A 16,347-nucleotide genomic window follows, 5' to 3' on the forward strand; every position below is an offset into this window, starting at 1 on the left:
TGTAGAATTCTGTTCTCTATGCCACTGGGGTATTTCAAGTTCTGTTTTTTGTAAGCTTACCTAAGAGAAACTTAAATCCCAGCGTTTGCGTAATTTTAATCTTTTCTAGCCACTGCCCTGTCAATTTTATAACATATACTAATAAGCAATTTAAACAAATCTCTTAAGGTTTTCTAGGGTAATATTATTAGAAGATAAATATGTATTATTAGCAAGATAAAAGAAATCAAAAAATAATAATGCTTCTGTCCATAAATATCCCTTCAAGTGATGACATCAGAAGCCACAACAATATAAATAAAGTGGCCCAAATAAAGCTCACAATTTTTTCACACATCTATTTGCTATACCAACCATATGATACTTAATTCAACCATTTATTCAGTTGCTAGTCTAGACTAAGAGTTTCTGGATTGTAGAAACCATGACTGCTTCATCTATTTTTCTAATGGCCATATAAAATTATAGCAATCAGTTTATCTGCTTGAGTCTCCAGATCTCCTCCTTGTTTTTACCCAAGTACCAGAAAACTGGAGAAATTCATCTGGGTACCAATCAAAAACATCCCTTGTATAAGGGAAGGAACAAACACAGGATGACTCATTTCTCTTACACTGAGGGAAAAGCAGAATTAACCACTCTTGTCAGCCTGACACAATTCTGCTCTGGACATCCTCAAATGTCTCAAAAATGCCTACGTAATTGTGAGAGGGTTCCCAGTGACCCTGGGCTGATGGTCCAATAATAAGCCAGGCTAGAGAGAGTCATGCTGATTCTAAATAGAAAATGGAACTGCCCTGGTTGAGCTCCAGAATTACTTGTTCTGATTAACTAGCTTTTGGATAGAAGGAAGGACAAGAATATTGTACATAACATTTTACAGGCAGGTATAGTTGTGGTCATGGCTCCGGATACTTTGTGGTCTTGATCTCTCACTCCTAAGATGTTTATTTATATTTACAGAATTTGCCATCAGATTCTGTTTACATCTGGAGCCTCTCACGTAACTGTGGCAGACCTGCTACAAGATCTTACTGGACAAAATCTGAAAAGCTCAAAGAGCCACAGTCTCAAAGGGAGCTGTAGGATGTCTATGTTGACATCTCACAGTGCAGAAAATGCCTTCTATTGGTTTTCAGTACATTCCCAATTCAAAGTCTGGCCCTGTCTTGTAATCCCAGGCAGAAGCCAGATCTTATGTGCAGATTCTAAGTGGGATCAACCTGACTCTGCATCCTTAGGTGTTACAGAAAGCAAAGTACAATCAAAGGAGAGATCCCCTCAGAGGCCGCTCTGGCACGTTCCAAATGATGTTTACCTAAAAGGAAATAGCTGAGGAAACATGAATGTAAGTATACAATTTATTTGGGCCAAACTTGAGGATTGTAACCTGGGAGCAAATATTCAAGTTGCCTGGAATATATACTTTGATTAGCAGCAGTTACAATTGGATTGGAAAGACAAAAAGAGAGGCGCATAGAGTGGGTTGATACAAAGTTGTCTGTCAACATTTTTTTATTTACAAAAATAAATTGATTATTGATTGGATATACATTGTTAGGCTATAGGGTGTGGGTTATAGTGTCCAGTGTGGCATTTTTAGTTCAATTTATAGCTACTTGTGGCAATAGCAAGCAGTTTCAAGTGGTAACTACATAGCTCAAAGAAAAAAGAAAGACATAATTGTGGTCTCATTTTAATGTCTCTCTGAGACTTATAAAGAAAAGGATTATTAGCCAGGCATGGTGGTGCAGGCCTGTAATCCCAGCTACTGAGAGGCCAAGACAGGAGAATCACCTGAACCTGGGAGGCGGAGATTGCAGTGAGCCGAGTTCGTGCCATTGCACTCCAGCCTGGACAACAAGAGTGAAACCTGTCTCAAAAAAAAAAAAACCTTTTATATAGGAAATGCAAATCCTTTTCTTTTCTTTTCTTTTCTTTTTTCTTTTTTTTTTTTTTTTTGAGACAGGGTTTCGCTCTTGTTGCCCCTGCTGGAGTGCAGTGGCGCAATCTCAGCTCACCGCAACTTCCTCCTCCCGGATTCTCCTGCCTCAGCCTCCCGAGTAGCTGGGATTACAGGCATGCGCCACCACGCCTGGCTAATTTTTTGTATTTTTAGTAGAGACAGGGTTTCTCCATGCTAGTAAGGCTGGTCTCGAACTCCCGACCTCAGGTGATCCACCCGTCTTGGCCTCCCAAAGTGCTGGGATTACAGGAGTAAGCCAGTGGGCCCGGCAAAGTTTTCATTTTTTCCAAGCCTCAAGATCTAGATTCAGAAATTGGAGCTGCAGATTCAGATTCTGGATGGGTGGAGTAGCAGCAGGTATTACTTGCACATTTGTGGACATTTTAGCAAGAGGAGAAAAAAGGAATTAAAAATTCTCATGTCTACATATCTATTCAATGCACACATGTTATTCTGCTAGGGTTTTTGGGCCCCATGGTCTCTGAGTCAGCTTCAGGTCTGATGACAGGAGTCCCTGAGGCTGGGCACGGTGGCTCACGCCTGTAATCCCAACACTTTGGGAGGCTGAGATGGGTGGATCATGAGGTCAGGAGTTTGAGACCAGCCTGGCCAATATGGTGAAATCCCATCTCTCTTTTTTTTTTTTTTTGAAACGAAGTTTCGCTCTTGTTGCCCAGGCTGGAGTGCAATAGCACAATCTTGGCTCACTGCAACCTCTGCCTCCCAGGTTCAAGTGATTCTCCTGCCTCAGCCTCCCCAGTAGCTGGCATTACAGGCGTGTGCCACCACCCTCAGCTAATTTTTGTATTTTTAGTAGAGACGGGGTTTCTCCATGTTGGTCAGGCTGGTCTCGAACTCCTAACCTCAGGTGATCTGCCTGCCTGGGCCTCCCGAAGTGCTGGGATTACAGGTGTGAGCCACCGTGCTCAGCCTTTGGTGAAACCCCATCTCTACTACAAATACAAAAAAAAAAAAATTAGCCAGGCATGGTGGTGAGCATCTGTAATCCCAGCTACTTGGGAGGCTGAAGCAGGAAAATCACTTGAACACAGGAGACTGAGGTTGCAGTGAGCTAAGATCATGCCACTGCACTCCAGCCTGGGCAATGCAGTGAGACTCCATCTCAACAACAACAAAAAAGTCACTGAAAGAGGTAAAATGGTTGATTGCTGCCCTGTAAGGTTTGTAGAAATCTGATCTAGCCTCTCTGGAAGTGACTGTAGAGGACAATAGATACCAAATAGGCAGAGATGCAATTCTTCCTGCATATTTAGGGAAGAGCGTGCACTTTGCAGCACAATTGTGAGTTGACTGGAATCCTGAGAGGGAAAGGCCCTTCTAGAGTAAAGCTTGGTTGACACCTTATATATTTATATCACGTCTGGTAATTCTAGACTGTGTTTGGAAAATATAACAAGAGAAATTATCTCCAGCCCCAGAAAAACTTCACAATGATGGAAAAGAAAGAAAACTTTTATTACACAATTAAACCAGAATGTGACATGCATCACAATCAATCTGCTTAAGAGACTGCAAAGACAGAAAGATAGTCACCATAATTAGTCCACAAGTCGAAGAATTTACAGCACCATGTCATACAGAGCTCATCCTAAATTCACCTGGTCATTGGGGATGCCACCTATCTATGCTAATTGGTTATAATCAATGACAAAATAAACTTTTCACATCTTCATGACAGGAGGTAGTTTTGCAACTTGACACCAGGTGCCTGCTGAAGGTAGACTCTCAGTCTCCTACTACAATGGTTGAATAGGGTGCTATCTTTTTGGTTATTTACACTTTAAAGCAATGGCTCTCTATGTTCTGAGCACTCAGCTACAGCACTCCTGCTTGCCGTCTACTTATGGCTAGTGTCCTCTCTTGACCCCTACCATCTGCCAATGAGGCACAGCCCAAAGCACAGAGCTCACAGCTGGCAGCTTACATCTTAAGTGAGCCCCAATTGCCACAGCAGCACTCCAGTACCTCATCAGAGACTGAAGACTATGGTACAGGAGAGCCTACAGGATTTGGGGGTAGAATTGCACCTTCATAATAATGGGAATGGGAGTGGTGTTTCAGCCTCAGTTTCAATTTATTATGGTGACTTGAAAAAAATACTGCTGGATTTCCAGCATGAGTCCAGATAGAGATAGGATGGTTCTCCCTGTGAAAACCCACCTCTTTGTCAACACCAAGGGATAGCATTAGGGCTTCTAAAACAGACATCTGAAGCATTGAAGAGAAAAACAGCTCTTGGTCTGATTCTACTGCAAAAATTATATTGAGAGAAAAAAGAAGTTAAATGTATCTTGAGAAAAAACTCAGATTAGATATGATTGATCAAGTCAGTCAGAAAATATTCCCCTAAAAGGAATTTCTCTTAAAATACCCCTAATGCACAGCTACTCTTGGCATGAGAAACATGAGCATTATGAAGAAAAAAAGCATATTCTCAGCAGAATTTTATAAGGTTTCTCTTCCATCTCTGCTGCTCTCATCTCCTAGCCATTGAATGGGGGTTCCATATTGAAATACAACTGACAATTCACCAGCACTTTTTAAATTACGAACTGGAATCTGACTTTGTTCATATAGTAGAATATATGTGAGCTTGCCGCATAACTAACTGAAGGGCTATTATGGTTTTTGGGTGACCACATCACCTGTCTATTTGTCCTGGAATGGCAGCATTCCAATTTAGTAAAATGAAAGACACTAAAATTATGCTTACCTATAACTATCCCTATTGGATAAAACAATATGTATGTCAGACACATATCTACTGTAACAATTTGGTAGTATTTTTTGATATTAGCTATATAAATAAATATAAATAATTTTAATGTACTAGTCATAATGTATGTAGGATTTTTAAACATTGTCTATAACCATAATTCAGTTTAAACATTTTATATTTCAGAAGTATAAATAACAATATTAAAATGACTGCTTAGGAGATTCAAAGTAAATATTTTGATCTTATATTCATACTATTGTAGAAAATACTTTTTAATTTATATGAATGTATGTTGTCTAAAAACACTTCAGATAACTATGCTAATTGTTCTTAATAAATAGAAACCAAAGTACAACTACAGGCTCCACTTTTCAGTTTATACACTGAACTGTTCTTGTTTTTGCAGTGTAAGTACTTCAGCCTGCAAATATTAGATAATTACTTTGGATAATTAGTGTTCTGTAAAAGGAACCTAGTATGTTTTAGTCCTTATTATTCTGTATTGCTAAATTTACTCCTATCATTGTGTTCAATTTGTGTGTGCTCCTAATATGAGTTTTTTTTTTTTAATTTTTTGAGATGGAGTTTTGCTCTTGTTGCCCAGGCTGGAGAGGAATGGTGTGATCTTGTCTCACTGCAACCTCTGCCTTCTGGGTTTGAGGGATTCTGTATCAACCTCCGGAGTAGCTGGGATTACAGGTATGAGCCACCACGCCCAGCTAATTTTGTATTTTTAGTAGAGAAAGCCACGCGTGGCTGAACAGATGCTTTTCCAAACAAGACATACATGTGGCTAACAAGCATATTTTAAAAATGCTCATCACTAATTATTAGAAAAATGTAAAAAAACACCCAATGAGATACCATCTCACACCAGTCAGAATGGCTACTGTTAAAAAGTCAGCAATAGATGCTGGCAAAGTTGCAGAGGAAAGGAAATGCTTATACACTGCTGGTGGGAGTGTAAATTAGTTCAACCACTGTAAAAAGCAGTGTGGCGGCCAGACTTAGTGGCTCAAGCCTGTAATCCAAGCACTTTGGGAGGCCTAGGCAGGCAGATGACCTGAGGTCAGGAGTTCAAGACCAACCTGGCCAACATGGTGAAACCCCATCTCTACTAAAAATACAAAAATTAGCCAGGTGTGGTAGCGGGCACCTGTAATCCTAGCTATTCAGGAGGCTGAGGCAGGAGAATCGCTTGAACCTGGAAGGCAGAGGTTGAAGTAGGCCAAGATCATGCCACTGCACTCCAGCCTGGGTGACAGAGCAAGACTCAGTCAAAAAAAAGCAGTGTAACAATTCCTCACAGAACTACAGAACTAAAAGCAGAATTACCATTTGACCCAGCAACCTCATAACTTGGTATATACCCAAAGAAATATAAATTAGTCTCTTAAAAAGACACACACATGCACATGCATATTTATTGCAGTACTATTCACAATAGCAAAGACATGGAATCAATCTAAATGCCTATCAATAATAGACTGAATAAAGAACATATGGTATGGTCGGACAAGGTGGCTAACACCTGTAATCCCAGCACTTTGGGAGGCTGAGGCAAGTTGATTGCCTGAGCTCAGAAGTTTGAGACCAGCCTGGGCAACATGGCAAAACCCCGTCTCTACAAAAAAATACAAAAAGAAACATTAGACAGGCATGGTGGTGCATGCCTGCAGTCCCAGCTAATTGGGAAGCTGAGGTAGGAGGACTGCTCAAGCCCAGGAGATTGAGGCTGCAATGAGCAGTCATCGCACCACTGCACTCCAGCCTGAGTGACAGAATGAGACCCTGTCTCCAAAGAAAAATAAAATAAAAGATCTAATAAAAACAAAATATGGCACATAAACATCATGAAATACTCTCTGGCCATTAAAAAAAAAAAAAAAAAAAGAACAGCATTATATCCTGTGCAGCAACATGGATAGAGCTGGAGACCATTATTGTTAGAAAAGTAATGCAGAAGGCTGGGCGCGGTGGCTCACGCCTGTAATCCCAGCACTTTGGGAGGCCGAGGCGGGTGGATCACGAGGTCAGGAGATCGAGACCATCCCAGCTAATGTGGTGAAACCCCGTCTCTACTAAAAATACAAAAAATTAGCTGGGCGTGGTGGCGGGCGCCTGTAGTACCAGCTACTGTGGAGGCTGAGGCAGGAGAATGGTGTGAATCCGGGAGGCGGAGCTTGCAGTGAGCAGAGATCGTGCCACTGCACTCCAGCCTGGGAGACAGTGAGACTCATCTTAAAAAAAAGAAAAGAAAAGAAAAGAAAAGAAAAGTAATGCAGAAACAGAAAACCAAATGCATGTTCTCATTTATAAGTAAGAGTTAAATAATAAGAACACATGGACACAAAGTGGGGAACAACAGTAACTGAGGCCTACTTGAGGGTGGAAGGTGGAAAAACAAAGAGGGTGTGGGCATTGTGGCTCACGCCTGTATGCCACCACATTGGGAGACCAAGGCAGATGAATCACTTGAGGTCAGGAGTTCGAGACCAGTCTGGCCAACATGGTGAAACCCCATCTCAACTAAAAATACAGAAATTAGCCTGGCATGGTGATACACAGCTCTAATCCCAGCCACTCAGGAGGCAGGAGAATCGCTTGAACCTGGGAGGCGGAAGTTGCAGTGAGCCAAGATCATGCCACTGCATTCCAGCCAGGGTGACAGAGCAAGGCTTGAAAGAAAAAAAGGGAAGAGAAGGGAAGGGAAGGGAAGGGAGAGGATGGGGAGGGGAGGGGAGGGGGAAGGAGGGAGGGAGGTGAGAGAGAGAGAGAAAAGAAAAAAGAAGGAAACAAAGAAAGAAAGAAAGGAAGGAAGGAAGGAAGAAAGAAAGGGAAAAGGAAAAGAGAGAGAAAATTAGAAAAAAATACCTATTTGGTGCTATGCTTAGTACTTCAGTGAAAAAATAATTTACACACCAAACATTCATGACACGATTTTACCTATATTACAAACCTGCACATGTACCAATGAATCAAAAATAGAAGTTAAAAGGAAAAAACTCCATGGATAAGGGAGAGTGCAATATAGATGGAAGGACTGGTTTGTGCCTGGGTGGGGCTGTACTCTAATTTATTTCTCTGTTCATACAGGCAGGTGAGATTATGAACAGGTGGTCCAGAACCCTAGGTTGGTGGAGAAAACAGGTTGCTGGTGCAGATTCAGTGTCTGGGGGTGCGGATATGCCAGGAGACTTGTAGACATGTTTGTGAGTTTGTAGCAAGAAACACCAGGATCAAAAATGCTGTGGTAAAATTCCTGAGGGTGGTGCCTAGTCCTGGGAATAAGTGTGGACACGTCAATGTCTAATGGGTATGTTTGTGAGTGGCTGGGAATCCTGTGGTGGCAGCTGTGGGAAAAGGGGGTCTGTCATCAGAGCTCATATTCTTTTTTTTTCTTTCTTTCCTTTTTTTTTTCTTTTGAGACAGAGTCTAGTTCTGTCACCCAGGCTGGAGTGCAGTGGCGCAATCTTGGCTCATTGCAACCTCTGCCTCCCGGGTTCAAGTGATTCTCCTTCCTCAGCCTCCTGAATAGCTGAGATTACAAGAACGCACCACCATGCCCAGCTTATTTTTTCTATCTGTAGTAGGGACGGGGTTTTGCCACGTTGCCCAGGCTGGTCTTGAACTCCTGAGCTCAGGCAATCCACCCGCCTCGGCCTCCCAAAGTGCTAGGATTACAGGCGTGAGCCACGGCACCCGGCCAGAGCTCCTATTCTCTAATTTTTCAGTCCTCTCTCACCCTGGGAGAACTGAAATCACAGGACAATGGGCAGTGTGACAGCCTGTGTACAGGAGAGCAGAGCGTCCCATTCCCAGACATCCAGAGTTTTATTCCAGGTCAGGCCCCCGTATCTTTTTTCTGGCACCAAATCTGCAGTTTACTGAAAACCAAGCAATTCTCTAACACTAACTCATTGTCTAACATTTTATTTCTGACACCACCCAGTGTCAGCACAGGCCCTGACTCAGTCCCACACTGTCCTTACGGCAGATGCCAGGCACAAACTCCATGGGCCCATTTACATTTCTGAGCTACTGTTTAAAAATTGAGGACTCCCATAACCTTTTTCAAGTTCAATAATTTGATAAAGCTACTCATAGAACTCAGCAAATACTGTAGTTATATTTACCAGTTTATTATAAAAGATACAACCCAGGAAAAGTCAAATGGCAGACATGTATAGAACAAAGAAAGGTGGGGAAAGATGACACACATAGACAATCCAGATAAATAACTGTGATTAATAAAATTCTTCATTGTTTGTGTTCTCCAGGAACAGTTTATCGAAAGAAACACCCTTCCCATTATGACTTAGATGGTGCTCTCTTTTCTTATCTATCACATAGCAGACACCGACTCTGCACATTTTTTTTCTTATTGAAAAATCAGTTGAATTTGACTTCAGTGGTGAAAATAAAATACTTCTTAAGGAAACTTTACTTAAGTTTGTCTTTTTCCCCAAGGCTTCTGAACTTTACAAACCCATTTTATGTAACTCCAAAGAACAGGCTGACTTCAGTGTGAAACATTCTCTGATCTAAAATCTGATTTTTTCACCCTGCATTTGCCATTCCCCTTCCACCTCCTTTCTAATCTTGTTTGTTCCTCCTTAGGAAAGGAAGCCTTTGTCTGCCTGAACTTTGCAATTCTTAAAGACCTTGTAGTTGGTACTTCTGTTGCAATATTTCTTTGGAAGTCAAAATTTTTATGTAAATTCAACCTTGTTTTATTTTCAAAGTCTATAAACTGCCTCAAAACAAGAACAACTTCATCTTCAGTAAGACCCTCCCAATCCCCTTTCATTTTAACATCAACTGCATCCACCTGTGGGTCCCCAGCTTTCCAGGGCTCTGTAGCTTCTCCCAGGATAAAGACTTCTATGGCTGGGGTGAGCAGGCTGGGATATCTACAGAGGAGACTCCCCAGAAAAAACTAACTGGGCCTTTAATAAAATTTTTTTGCAGGCTCAATATTAGCCTTAGCTCTGAGCCAGTGGGCTAAAGCTTTAATTTCCATGTCAAGAGTTATTCACTTGGTCTTTGAAACTTAAGTGTTTAGCCGGGCGCAGTGGCTCACGCCTGTAATCCCAACACTTTGGGAGGCTGAGGCGGGTGGATCACAAGGTCAGGAGATCAAGACCATCCTGGCTAACATGGTGAAACGTTGTCTCTACTAAAAATACAAAAAAAAAAATTAGTCGGGCGTGGTGGCGGGCACTTGTAGTCCCTGCTACTGGGTAGGCTGAGGCAGGAGAATGGTGTGAACCCGGGAGGTGGACCTTGCAGTGAGCTGAGATCGCGCCACTGCACTCCAGCCTGGCTACAGAGCAAGACTCCGTCTCAAAAAAAAATAAACTTAAGTGTTTAAAAAATCCAGCGTTTCTTGGCTGGGCGCAGTGGCTTACGCCTGTAATCCCAGCACTTTGGGAGGCCGAGGCGGGCAGATCACCTGAGGTCAGGAGTTTGAGACCAGCCTGACCAACATGCAGAAACCCCGTCTCTACTAAAAATACAAAATTAACCAGGTGTGGTGGTGCATGCCTGTAATCCCAGCTACTCAAGAGACTGAGGCAGGAGAATAGTTTGAACCCAGGAGGCGGAAGCTGCAGTAAGCCGAGATCATGACATTGCACTCCAGCCTGGGCAATAAGAGAGAAATTCCATTTCAAAAAATAAAAAAAAAATCCAGCAGTTTCTCAAACACAGTGTTGACATAAGAGAAGAAAATTTTAGGGTGCTTATATTTCATATCTCAATAAGAAAAGCAAAAGTGTCCATTCCTTTCAAACAATAAATGCATTATTTTATTATTTCCATTAAAAGTCATATAGTAAACAATTAGTCATATGGAAACATGTCTAGGAGGTACCAAGTTTCAAATAAAATTTAGCTTAAAACTAGGAAATCAAGATAACAGGATTTGAACAGAGATATTCACTGTCACAAATTTACCCTGCAAAAAGAGGAGCTGATGCTTTCATGAATCTATGTAACTCAGCAATTATCTACCACATTTTCTTGTGAAAATGTACTCATTTTCTACAGCCAAAATGGGAAAGACATTTCCCCTATTCTTTTTCTTGGTAGCATTCTTAAACAGCCTTGAAATTTTATTGGAAATTACCAAGCCATAAAAAATACACCTGACACTGATGAAAGAAATCATAGATGGCACAAACAAATGGAAACAAATCCCACGCTCATGGATAAGTAGAATCAATATTGTGAAAATGACCATACTGCCAAAAGCAATCTACAAATTCAGTGCAATCCTTATCAAAATACCACCATAATTCTTCACAGAATTAAAAAAAATTCTAAAATTCATGTGGAACAAAAAAGAGCCTGCGTAGCCAAAACAAGGCTAAGCAAAAAGAACAAATCTGGAGGCATAACATTACCTGATTTCAAACTACACTATAAGGCCATAGTCACCAAAACAGCATGTTACTGGTTTAAAAATAGGCACATAGACCAATGGAACAGAATAGAGAACCCAGAAATAAACCCAAATACTTACAGCCAACTGATCTTCAGCAAAGCAAACAAAAACATAAAGTGGGGAAAGGACACCCTTTTCTACAAATGGTACTGGGATAATTGGCTAGCCATATGTAGGAGAATGAAACTGGATCCTCATCTCTCATCTTATACAAAAATCAACTCAAGATGGATTAAGGACTTAAACCTAAGATCGGAAACTATAAAAATTATAAAACATAACATTGGAAAAACCCTTCTAGACATTAGATTAGGCAAGGATTTCATGACCAAGAACTCAAAAGCAAATGCAATAAAAACAAAGATAAATATCAGGGACCTAATTAAATTAAATAGTTTTTACACGGCAAAAAGAACAGTCAGCAGAGTAAACAGACAACACATAGAGTGAGAAAAAATCTTCACAATCTATACGTCTGACAAAGGACTAATATCTAGAGTCTACAACAAACCCAAACAAATCAGTACAAAACAAACAATCCCATCAAAAAGTGGACTAAGGATATGAATAAACAATTCTCAAAAGAAGGTATACAAATGGCCAACAAACATATGAAAAAATCCTCAACATCACTAATGATCAGGGAAATGCAAATCAAAACCACAATGCGATACCACCTTACTCCTGCAAGAATGGCCATGATCAAAAAATCAAGAAACAGTAGATGTTGGCATGGACGTGGTGAACAGGGAACACTTCTACATTGCTGGTGGGAATGTAAACTAGAAAAGCCACTATGGAAAACACTGTGGAGATTCCTTAAAGAACTAAAAGTAGGATTACCATTTGATCCAGCAATCCCACAATTGGGTATCTACCCAGAGGAAAAGAAGTCATTATTCGAAAAATATACTTGCACACGCATGTTCATAGTGGCACATTTCACAATAGCAAAATCATGGAACCAACCCAAATCCTCATCAATCAATGAATGGATAAAGAAACTGTGGTATATATATACAATGGAATACTACACAGCCATAAAAAATGAATTAACAGCATTTGCAGTAACCTGGATGAGACTAGAGACTATTATTCTAAGCAAAGTATCTCAGGAGTTGAAAACCAAACATGGTATGTTCTGTTATGTGGGAGCTAAGCTATAAGGATGCAAAGGCATAAGAATGATACAATGGACTTTGGGGATTTGAGGGGAAGAGTGGAAGGGGGACGAGGGATAAAAGACTACAAATTTGGTGCAGTGTATAATGCTCTGGTGATGGGTGCACCAAAATCTCATAAAATAGGCTGGGCGCGGTGGCTCATGCCTATAATCCCAACACTTTGGGAGGCCATGGCGGGTGGATCACTTGAGATCAGGAATTTGAGACCAGCCTGGCCAACATGGAGAAACCCCGTTCTCTACAAAAAATACAAAAATTAGCTGGGCATGGTGGCACGCCCACCTGTAATTCTAGCTACCCGGGAGGCTGAGGCAGAAGAATTGCTTGAACCCGGGAGGCAGAGGTTGCAGTGAGCCAAGATTGTGCCATTGCACTCCAGCCTGGGCAACAAGAGCAAGAGTCCATATTAAATATAAATATAAATACATATATATTTGATTATATATATATTCACAAAAAATACATCTGAGAAAATTCCTAAACTTACTCTAAGAAAGGAAAACTTAAATGAGAATTTCTCACAAATAAAATACATGATTAATATTAATTTTTTCTGAAATCCACCTCTTTTATGCCCTCTGTTAATATTTTCTTACCTTCCAAGTCCTATTAATAAAATGCAATTTACAGTTAAATAATGGAAGTCAACATAAGTGAACAAATCTTTTCAAGGTGACAAACCCAGGGAGTGGTAGTGCTAATTAGAAAACAGATGTGTCTAGACCGGGCGCGGTGGCTCACGCCTGTATTCCCAGCACTTTGGGAGGCCGAGGCGGGCGGATCACCTGAGGTCTGGAGTTTGAGACCAGCCTGACCAACATGGAGAAACCCCATCTCTACTAAAAATACAAAAACATTAGCTGGGTGTGGTGGCACATGCCTGTAATCCCAGCTACTCGGGTGGCTGAGGCAGGAGAATCGCTTGAACCTGGGAGGCGGAGGTTGCGGTGACCCGAGATCGTGCCATTGCACTCCAGCCTGGGCAACAAGAGTGAAACTCCACCTCAAAAAAAAAAAAAAAGAAAAGAAAGAAAACAGATGTGTCTGACTGATATTCACCCACCCCATTCTGCTCACCTTAAGTGCTCAATAACCACCCTCTCAGGAGACATTACACTATGCCCCAGGTGCATTTTACTTTGTAAGTTCTTGCACCATCTCACTTGGGTCAGGTTTTTCTTTGTCTTTTGGGATACTTTTTTTTTTCCACAAAATTTAGAGAATTCAGGGGGCAGAAATTATTTCTGTGTTTTCCCCTCAATACCAGCATCTGATTGGCTGACCAGCACTGTGTCTCCAAGAAATGGAAGCTGGGTTGGGTGAAGACAATCTTAATGTCTCAAGGGGTTAGCTTTTCAAAGGAAGAGTATGCCAGGAGATGCCTCTCAGCCCCAGGGCATCCACCTGCTCCCTTGAGAAGCTACACTCCATACCTCAGGTTGTCCTCAGGGAGAAAAATGACCCAGGAGCTGATATTCACTAGACACTCTAGCAGAAAAAGTCATGATGTGTATCTTGGTTTACTCCAGACAGTACTGAAACCCAGGACCAGGAAAAAACTGAAGGGTGGCTGAAGACACATCACTCCGTAAAGTTTCCAAAGAAAAACCTTCACCTGAAAACAAACATTCTGATAAGATTTCTGTGCCTGAGGAAGATAAAAAAAAAAAAGCCATAGAAATTTCATAAAATACAGTGTCAGGGAATTATTTTTTGCTTTCTTCTCATGAGAAATATTTTCAACCAGAAAACAATTTTAAGTGCCATCCAATGCTTTGTCAAAAAATGATTAACTAAAATACAGTATCAAAAATGTACACTAAAGGAAAAACAGTTGAGAATGTGAATTAGGAAAGGCAAGCTGGCATTTGGAAATGTCAGAAGGAACTAGAAATTTAGTATTTTAGTTTATTTGCAGTTTAAATCTAACTGCAGGCCAGAGTTAGGCTGGAGGAATGGGGCTGGGAGGTACACTTGAGACCCCGCTTGGAACGCATGTGAAAAATGCAGGGGAAAATCAGTCCCCTGTGGAGTGTGAGAATAATTAAGTGGCAGGCAATTACACTGAGGAGGCTCTAGTCCCCGGCTTTCTACTTAACAGCAACAGCTACGTAAATGTACCTAACCGATTATTAAATATAGTTTTCTTCATCATGCACCTTATAAAAAGTCTTTCCTTCAAGCTCCTCCCATGAACCACAAACTACAAAACATACTTTTGTGCTCTACAATTATTGAATCACTCTTTGATTAAATTCTTTAATATTTTTTGCGATGACTGCCACAGATTTTTAATAGGAGAAAATAGGAACCGGGAACCCCACAGACCAAAGCTCTTCCCATTCATGAACCCGACCCCAAGTCAGGATTCTCCCCTGACCACCCTCCCATGGTCCCTGCACAATCTGGGAGAGGCGCGGCGCTGCCGGTGCAGAGCCGCCCAGAGAGGGCTGCAGGCCAGGGCACAGTCACTGCGCAGGGAAGAGACAGGACGCCCGGGGGCCCGGCTGTCGGCGCAGCCGCCATCTTATGGCTGAAGGGGACTGAGGCCGAGCTAGGCAAGGAGAACTCGGAGCGCAGATTGTGGAGATGACTGCGGGGAGTCCTGAGTCCCGCCACAGCCACTTCCCACAGGTTTCAACCAGCCCTTCCCCTCTCTCGGGATGTCGGACGGCACTCTCACCATTTCTAGGCTTCCAGAGGGTCCTGGAGTCTTAGCTGTGGATCTCCCAATACCTGCAGGTCACAGAGCCACAGAGTCTGGGCCTCTAGGAGCAGAGGACAAACAGCAGTGAAGACGAGACCGGAGCTCCGGCTGCAGCAAGAGACAAAGGCCGCGCCAAACCCGGAAGCCGCCCTGTCCGGTCCAGCTGCGTGTCTGAGTGAACTGTCCCCAGCTCAGAGTCCCTGATTGGATAATGTTAAAACCCGCCCCTTCAGGCCCTGAGGGACGGAAGATGTGATCAGATGCTGGGCTGAATGAAGTGTGACAGCCTATGCTGCAGCCTTTTCAGGCAAGGCTTCCTCCCTGAGCTGAGCCAGGCCCACCCGAGAGGGTGTTTGCCTTTAATCTTGTGTATAAGGTCATATGCCCTTATAAATAATATGCTATATGGCTATTCACAAATGAAAAGAATATAATAACCCAATTGTTCTAAAAAAAATTTTTTTTTTGAGATTGAGTTTCACTCTTGTTGCCCAGGCTGGAGTGCAATGGCGCGATCTTGGCTCATCGCAACCTCCACCTCGCGGGTTCAAGCGATTCTCCTGCCTCAGCCTCCCGCGTAGCTGAGATTACAGGCATGCGCCACCATGCCCGGCTAATTTTTTTGTATTTTTAGTAGAGACGGGGTTTCTCCATGTTGGTCAGGCTGGTCTCAAACTCCAGACCTCAGGTGATCCTCCCGCCTCGGCCTCCCAAAATGCTGGGATTACAGGCATGAGCCACTGCGCCCGGCCCAACTGTTCTAAAATTTTATATTTTGTGACCTTCCTGACTTCTGGTCCTTTGAGCAGGCAGCCTGAGATTTTAAAAAGGAGGCAATTCTCTGAAATAAAATGTGAGCCACAAGTTGGGCGCTGTACCTCACGCCTGTAATCCCAGTACTTCGGGAGGCCGAAGAGGGTGGATCATCTGAGGTTCAGAGTTCGAGATCAGTCTGGCCAACATGGTGAAACCCCGTCTCTAAAACAATACAAAAAAATTAGCTGGGCATGGTGGCAGGCGCCTGTAATCCCAGCTACTTGGGAGGCTGGGGCAGGAGAATCGCTTGATCCTGGGCGGTGGAGGTTGCAGTGAGACGAGATCACGCCACTGCACTCCAGTATGGACAACAAGAGTGAAACTCTGTCTCAAAAAAAATAAATAAATAAAATAAAATCATAAAATGTGAGCCACATGTAAATTTTAAATTTTCTAGTAGCCAAACTTTATTTTATATTTTTATTTTTTTAGACGGAGTCTCACATTGTTGCCTGGGCTGGAGTGCAATGGCGCGATTTCTGCTCA

The 16,347-nt window shown here is 42.2% G+C and overlaps 1 protein-coding gene and 1 pseudogene across 5 annotated transcripts in view, besides 7 other annotated features; one reads left to right on the top strand and one right to left on the bottom strand.

The window, feature by feature from the left end:
* Positions 1-15,222, bottom strand: part of ZNF708 (zinc finger protein 708) — a 38,251-nt gene extending 23,029 nt beyond the window's left edge. For 3 of the 5 annotated variants that reach the window (XM_017027203.3, NM_001297561.2, NM_021269.3), the window contains exon 1: positions 15,022-15,222. Coding sequence is in view for 1 of the 5 variants with exons in the window: in NM_021269.3 (NP_067092.2) it covers positions 15,022-15,024 (3 nt within the window). In the remaining 4 variants the exon portion in view is untranslated. Of the gene's footprint in view, positions 1-13,771; positions 13,954-15,021 lie in introns of all 5 variants that reach the window. The other 2 variants (NM_001297560.2, XM_047439310.1) reach the window with 1 other exon arrangement.
* Positions 3,549-4,053: an enhancer, noted in NCBI's record as "NANOG hESC enhancer chr19:21500539-21501043 (GRCh37/hg19 assembly coordinates)". NCBI's record gives its function as "activates a minimal SCP1, AML or CMV promoter by ChIP-STARR-seq in naive H9 embryonic stem cells {active_cell/tissue: H9 hESC(naive)}" and the evidence as "EXISTENCE:reporter gene assay evidence [ECO:0000049][PMID:30033119]".
* Positions 3,973-4,500, top strand: BNIP3P25 (BCL2 interacting protein 3 pseudogene 25; annotated as a pseudogene).
* Positions 13,165-13,686: an enhancer, noted in NCBI's record as "H3K4me1 hESC enhancer chr19:21510155-21510676 (GRCh37/hg19 assembly coordinates)". NCBI's record gives its function as "activates a minimal SCP1, AML or CMV promoter by ChIP-STARR-seq in naive and primed H9 embryonic stem cells {active_cell/tissue: H9 hESC(naive and primed)}" and the evidence as "EXISTENCE:reporter gene assay evidence [ECO:0000049][PMID:30033119]".
* Positions 14,775-14,974: an enhancer, noted in NCBI's record as "active region_14383". NCBI's record gives its function as "activates an Ori minimal core promoter by ATAC-STARR-seq in GM12878 lymphoblastoid cells {active_cell/tissue: GM12878}" and the evidence as "EXISTENCE:reporter gene assay evidence [ECO:0000049][PMID:35858748]".
* Positions 15,015-15,194: an enhancer, noted in NCBI's record as "active region_14384". NCBI's record gives its function as "activates an Ori minimal core promoter by ATAC-STARR-seq in GM12878 lymphoblastoid cells {active_cell/tissue: GM12878}" and the evidence as "EXISTENCE:reporter gene assay evidence [ECO:0000049][PMID:35858748]".
* Positions 15,015-16,067: a biological region, named in NCBI's record as "NANOG-H3K27ac-H3K4me1 hESC enhancer GRCh37_chr19:21512069-21513057".
* Positions 15,079-16,067: an enhancer, noted in NCBI's record as "NANOG-H3K27ac-H3K4me1 hESC enhancer chr19:21512069-21513057 (GRCh37/hg19 assembly coordinates)". NCBI's record gives its function as "activates a minimal SCP1, AML or CMV promoter by ChIP-STARR-seq in naive and primed H9 embryonic stem cells {active_cell/tissue: H9 hESC(naive and primed)}" and the evidence as "EXISTENCE:reporter gene assay evidence [ECO:0000049][PMID:30033119]".
* Positions 15,314-15,535: a silencer, noted in NCBI's record as "fragment chr19:21512304-21512525 (GRCh37/hg19 assembly coordinates)". NCBI's record gives its function as "represses an EF-1alpha promoter that drives an FKBP-Casp9 reporter gene in an ReSE screen in K562 erythroleukemia cells {active_cell/tissue: K562}" and the evidence as "EXISTENCE:reporter gene assay evidence [ECO:0000049][PMID:32094911]".

Source organism: Homo sapiens, chromosome 19 (genome assembly GCF_000001405.40).
Source record: "Homo sapiens chromosome 19, GRCh38.p14 Primary Assembly".
Classification (NCBI taxonomy): domain Eukaryota; kingdom Metazoa; phylum Chordata; class Mammalia; order Primates; family Hominidae; genus Homo; species Homo sapiens.